Below are 7,054 nucleotides of genomic sequence, written 5' to 3'. Positions count from 1 at the left end.
GAATCTGCCCCATCATGATTTATTTTATTTTTCTTTTCTTTTCTTTCTTTCTTTCTTTTTTTTTTTTTTTTTTTTTTTTGAGACAGAGTCTCACTCTATTGCCCAGGCTGGAGTGTAGTGGCGTGATCTTGGCTCACTGCAACCTCTGTCTCCCAGGTTCAAGCGATTCTCAGGCCTCAGCTTCCCAAGTAGCTGGGATTACAGGTGCCCGCCACCATGCCCAGCTAATTTTTGTGTTTTTCCCAGAGACAGGGTTTCATCATGTTGGCCAGGCTGCTCTTGAACTCCTGACCTCAGACAATCTGCCCACCTTGGCCTCCCAAAGTGCTTGGATTACAGGCATAAGCCACCTCACCCGGCCCATGATTTCTTAACTATAGCTTTGCATCATCCTACTTTTAATTTTAGAAGGCAAGCAAGATCGTATCAGTTGGCTTTGGAAATAGAAAGTGATCGAATTCAGCTCAACCTCTTAAGAACCATGGGGCTTTGGGCAAGTAACCAGACTGTCTGTGCCTCGATTTCCCACAAGGATAAGAATGCCTTCCCCGCAGAGCTGTAATGAGGATGTAACAGTGATGTGAAGACACTGAGCCACCGAGCAAGGCCAGTGCTGAAAAATCCAGGTTCTCCTTCATGAATAATGGTGGGTTTTTTGGGTTGGGTATTTTTTTTTTTTTTTTTTTGTCAGAGTCTCACTCTGTCGCCTAGGCTGGAGTGCAGTGGTGCGATCTTGGCTCACTGCAACCTCTGCCTCTCCGGTTCAAGCAATTCTCCTGCCTCAGCCTCCTGAGTATCTGGAATTACAGGCATGCGCCACCACATCCGGCTAAATTTTCTATTTTTGGTAGAGACGGGATTTCACCATGTTGGCCAGGCTGGTCTCCAGCTTCTGGCCCCAAGTGATGTGCCCGCCTCCACCTCCCAAAGTGCTGGGATTACAGGTGTGAGTCACCGTGCCTGGCCGGTAAATAATGGTTATTTTTTTAAGTGAAGAATTCAGAGTGAGGATCAAGTCTTCTCACACTAGGTGAGGATAATCAGCACTCAAAGACAATTCTCAGGAAACCAGATGCACCTGTGCATCTTTACCCAGGGTAAGGATGACACATTTACTTGGAATTTCAGGTTTAAAATGAGACCATTTAAAGAAAAACACTAAGGAAATCATAGTCTGGCTGGGCACAGTGGCTCCCACCTGTAATCCCAGCACTTTGGGAGGCTGAGGCAGGAAAATGGCTCAAGCCCAGGAGTTTGAGACCAGCCTGGGAAACATAGCGAGACCCCATCTCTGAAAAAAATTTTAAAATTAGTCAGGCATGGTGGTGCATGCTTGTGGTCCCAGCTAAGGAGGCTGAGGTGGGAGGATCGCTTGTGCCCAGAAGATCAAGGCTGCAATGAGCTATGATCAGACCACTGCACTACAGCCTGGATGACAAAGTGAAGCACTATCTCAAAAAATAAAATAGGGCCAGGCGCAGTGGCTCACACCTGTAATCCCAGCACTTTGGGAGGCAGAGGCGGGTGGATCACCTGAGGTCAGGAGTTCAAGACTAGCCTGGCCAACATGGTGAAACCCCGTCTCTACTAAAAATACAAAAATTGGCAGGTGGATCACCTGAGGTCAGGAGTTCGAGACCAGCCTGATCAACATGGTGAGATCCTGTCTCTACTAAAAATGCAAAAATTAGCCAGGCATGGCGGCACACGCCTATAATCTCAGCTACTCAGGAAGCTGAGACAGGAGAATCGTCTGAACCTGGGAGGCAGAGGTTGCAGTGAGCCGAGATCGCGCCATTGCACTCCAGCCTGGGCAACAAAAATGAAACTCTGTCTCAGGACACACACACACACACACACACACACACACACACACTAGCTGGGTGTGGTGGTGGGCACCTGTAGTTGCAGCTACTCAGGAGGCTGAGATAGGAGAATTGCTTGAACACAGGAGGCGGAGGTTGCAGTGAACCGAGATTGTACCATTGCACTCCAGCCTGGGCGACAGAGTGAGACTCCGTCTCAGAAAAAATAAATAAAAATAAAATAAAATAATTATAGTAGTGCAGGTGGTACACAGATATGGCAAAAATACATAAAAGGGCCTATGAATAACTGCATTTGGGGACGCGCAGCCTATGCCGAGGGCTATTAAACCTATCCATGTGCAGAGGGGAGGAATGAAGCATCCCAGAGGGAGCAGCAGGACCCACTGCTTCTGAGCAGAGCAAAGGACGAGTTCAGCTGAGCATTTACTTCTCCAGTCCAGGGGTTTCCGCCTGAATAGGTAGAAAGGCATACCGCCCCAGTGGATGACATCTCTGTGCCTTCTCCATTCCTTCCAACAATGGTGTGCTGGAAGCAGTGCTGGAAGAAGGGTCAGAAGGTCCAAATCCTGATCCTAGGAGATGATTTGCTTCGAATGGTTGTTGTTGTTGCTATCATTGTCGTTGTTGTTTGAGACAGGGTCTTACTCTGTCGCTCAGGCTGGAGTGCAGTGGTGCAATCCTGGCTGACTGCAACCTCCACCTCCTGGGCTCAAGCCGTCCTCCCACCTCAGCCTTCCGAGTAGCTGGGGCTACAGGCGCGCTAACTTATTTATTTATTTTAGAAATGGGGTTTCACTATGTTGCCCAGGCTGATCACGAACTCCTGAGCTCAAGGGATCCGCCTGCTTCGGCCTCCCAAAGTGCTGGGATTACAGGCCTGAGCCATTGCGCCCAGCCAATTTTTGTATTTTTAGTAGAGACGGGGTTTCACCATATTGGCCAGGCTGGTCTTGAACTCCTGACCTCAGGTGATCCACCCGCCTCTGCCTCCCAAAGTGCTGGGATTACAGGCGTGAGCCACCGCTCCCGGCCTGCTTTGAGTTCTTGACCAAATCACTTCCCCACTTGCTGTCTCAGTTTCCCCATATGGCAGTGAAGAGCGGGAATGGTTGAGTGTAGTTCCCACCGTCTTTTAAGGATTGTCGTGAATCATCGAAGCCAGCAGAGGGCGCCAGAGCCTAAGGAGCAGATTTGAGTCACTCTTCAGCCCTTCCAGCGGAGGGCGGAAAAGAGCTGAGATGAGACAGGAAAAGTGAGCATCAGACTGAGGTCCCCCAGGGCCTGACTGCAGGGACAGCGCTGCTCAGAAGAGTTCGGCTTGGGGACAGGGCAAGGAGCCGGGTCCCAGGCCTCGTTTAGGGCAAAGCATTTTACCTCTCTGGGCTAGTAGCAATTACAGCCTAAACCCTTGGTATTTAAAAAGTAACATTCCATTCCAGCACCATCTTCCCTTGGGGACTCTAGGGTGCGGGAGAGGGGGCTTCTGGGGATAGGGGAGTGGGGGGAGAGCTTAAGATGAGACTTTGCCTTTCACTCTTTCTCTTTCTGCTTACAAAAGTGTTTTTAAATGCCTCTTGGGGAAAAGACATCTGGCATCATGCAAAACTATCCAATTTTACAGAAGACCCAAATGCATCATTTTTACTTCTAAGTTCAAAATGAATTTGTAATTTCACAATGTTTTTTTTTGTTTGTTTGTTTTTTTGCACCGCCCTTAATCCATTTAACCCTGAGTGGACACAGCACATGTTTCAGGGAGCACAGGGTTGGGGGTAAGGTCACAGATCAACAGGATCCCAAGGCAGAGGAATTTTTCTTAGTGCAGAACAAAATGAAAAGTCTCCCATGTCCACTTCCTTCTACACAGACACGGCAACCATCCGATTTCTCAATCCCTTCCCCACCTTTCCCGCCCCTCCATTCCACAAAGCCGCCATTGTCATCCTGGCCCGCTCTCAATGAGCCGTTGGGCACACCTCCCAGACGGGGTGGTGGCCGGGCAGAGGGGCTCCTCACCTCCCAGTAGGGGCGGCCGGGCAGAGGCGCCCCTCACCTCCCGGACGGGGCGGCTGGCCGGGCGGGCGGGCTGACCCCCCCCATCTCCCTCCCGGACAGGGCGGCTGGCCGGGCGGGGGGCCGACACCCCCACCTCCCTCCCGGACGGGGCGGCTGGCCGGGCGGGGGGCGACACCCCCACCTCCCTCCCGGATGGGCGGCTGGCCGGGCGGGGGGCGACCCCCCACCTCCCTCCCGGACGGGGTGGCTGCCGGGCGGAGACGCTCCTCACTTCCCAGATGGGGTGGCTGCCGGGCGGAGAGGCTCCTCACTTCTCAGACGGGGCAGCTGCCGGGCGGAGGGGCTCCTCACTTCTCAGACGGGGCGGTTGCCAGGCAGAGGGTCTCCTCACTTCTCAGACGGGGCAGCCGGGCAGAGACGCTCCTCACCTCCCAGACGGGGTCTCGGCCGGGCAGAGGCGCTCCTCACATCCCAGATGGGGTGGCGGGGCAGAGGCACTCCCCACATCTCAGACGATGGGCGGCCGGGCAGAGACGCTCCTCACTTCCTAGATGTGATGGCGGCTGGGAAGAGGCGCTCCTCACTTCCTAGATGGGATGGCGGCCGGGTGGAGACGCTCCTCACTTTCCAGACTGGGCAGCCAGGCAGAGGGGCTCCTCACATCCCAGATGATGGGCGGCCAGGCAGAGACACTCCTCACTTCCCAGACGGGGTGGCGGCCGGGCAGAGGCTGCAATCTCGGCACTTTGGGAGGCCAAGGCAGGCGGCTGGGAGGTGTAGGTTGTAGCGAGCCGAGATCACGCCACTGCACTCCAGCCTGGGCACCATTGAGCACTGAGTGAACGAGACTCCGTCTGCAATCCCGGCACCTCGGGAGGCCGAGGTTGGCGGATCACTCGCGGTTAGGGGCTGGAGACCGGCCAGGCCAACACAGCGAAACCCCGTCTCCACCAAAACCAGTCAGGCGTGGCGGCACGTGCCTGCAATCGCAGGCATTGGGCAGACTGAGGCAGGAGAATCAGGCAGAGAGGTTGCAGTGAGCCGAGATGGCAGCAGTACAGTCCAGCTTCGGCTCCGCATGAGAGGGAGACTGTGGGGAGAGGGAGAGGGAGAGGGAGAGGGAGAGGGAGAGGGAGAGGGACTTCTCTTGAATGTCTTCACAATGTTTAAACAACACTGCCTGTTAGGGCATTATTGGTACTAGCAAAACAGACAAAATTTTTTCAGAAAGCTAGAGGCAACCCGAATGCCCATCAATAGATAAATAATTACACATATCATAGCAAATACCGTAAATTGGCACATATAATGACACAGTGAAGACATGCTGTTCATGAGGAAACACGAACAGCATATCCAGGATAAATCCTATAAATGGGTACTTTTCTGGAAGAAAACATAAGAAACTGTTACAGATTACCTTGGGACTCTGAGAAAGTGGAGATTTATTCTTCAATTTTACACCTGTCTACATTGATTTGGAATTTTCTAACAATGTGCTATTACTTTTGAACGGTGAAAAAGAATTATCTGGTGGAAAGATTGTGGACCACGTTTTCCTTATGCTTAAAAAATGTTTTTAACAAGAATATTTTGTTGTTTTAAATGGGTAGTAGATTATAAAGCTCAACAAATCATGGCAATATAACCAAATATAGATGGAGGAATCTTGCTCCCACCATCATCCCCCCATGCACTCTACTCTTTCCAGCCCTCTCCCAGCGGACCTCCCATTAGATCCTGTGAGTAAGCAGTTTTATTGTTCACGTATCCTTTCAGCGTTTCTTTATGCAGAGTCAAGCAAATACAAATGTCTTTTCTGGCCCCCCCCCCCCCTTTTTCTTTCTTTCTTTTTTTTTTTTTTTTGTGAGACAGAGTCTCGCTCTGTCACACAGGCTGGAGTGCAGTGGTGCGATCTCCGCTCACTTCGATCTCGGCTCACTGCGATCTCCACCTCCCGGGCTCAAGCGATCCTCCCACCTCAGCCACCCAAGTAGCTGGGTCTACAGACGCGCACCACCATGCCTGGCTAATTTTTGTATTTTTAGTAGAGACGGGTTTTCGCCGTGTTCCCCAGGTTGGTCGTGAACTCCCGAGCTCAAACAATTCGCCCACCTCAGGCTTCCAAAGTGCTGAGATTACAGGCGTGAGGCAACGCGGCTGGCTTTTTTTTTTTTTTAACTTTTATGTTAAGTTCACAGGTAAAGTGCAGGTTTGTTACATAGGTAAACTTGTATCATGGGGGTTTATTGTATAGATTATTTCACAACCCGGATACTAAGCCTGGTACCCATTAGTTATTTTTCCTGATCCTCTCCCTCCTCCCACTCTCCTCCCTCTAATGGACCCCGGTGTGTGTTGTTCCCCTTTATGTGTCCACGTGTTCTCATATTTATTTCCCACTTGTAAGTAAGAACATGTGGTATTTGGTTTCCTGTTCCTGTGTTAATTTGCTAAAGATAATGGCCTCCACCTCCATCCATGTTGCTGAAAAGGATATGATCTCGTTCTTTTTTTATGGCTGCATAGTATTCCATGGTGTATATGTACCACATTTTCTTTATCTGATCTACCTCTGATGGGCATTTAGGTTGATTCTATGTCTTCGCTATTGTGAATAGTGCTGCAATGAACATATGCGTGCATGTGTCTTTATGATAGAACAATTTATTTTCCTTTGGTTTTATACCCAGTAATGGGATTGCTGGGTTGAATGATAGTTCTGTTTTTAGGTCTTTGAGGAATGGCCACACTGTTTTCCACAATGGTTGAACTAATTCACACACCCACCAGTAGTGTATAAGCGTTCTGCCTGCCTTTCTTTTTTTTTTATTTTTTATTTTTTTTGAGACCGAGTCTAGCTCTGCCGCCCAGGATGGAGTGCAGTGGTGCAATCTCGGCTCACTGCAACCTCCATCTCCCAGGTTCACGCGATTCTCCTGCCTCAGCCTCCTGAGTAGCTGGGATTACAGGCACACACCACCATGCCCAGCTAATTTTTGTATTTTTAGTAGAGACAGGGTTTCACCATGTTGGTCAGGCTGATCTTGAACTCCTGACCTCGTGATCCACCCTCCTTGGCCTTGCAAAGTGCTGGGATTACAAGCATGAGCCACTGCGCCCGGCCATGCCCACCCTTTCTTATACAAACGTAGCATACTCTGTTACTGCTCCACACCTTACTTTTCCCACCTAACAATATGTCCTGG

The sequence above is a fragment of the Homo sapiens genome, chromosome 2 (genome assembly GCF_000001405.40).
Source record: "Homo sapiens chromosome 2, GRCh38.p14 Primary Assembly".
Taxonomy (NCBI): Eukaryota; Metazoa; Chordata; class Mammalia; order Primates; family Hominidae; genus Homo; species Homo sapiens.
Note: the sequence above shows the minus strand (reverse complement) of the source record.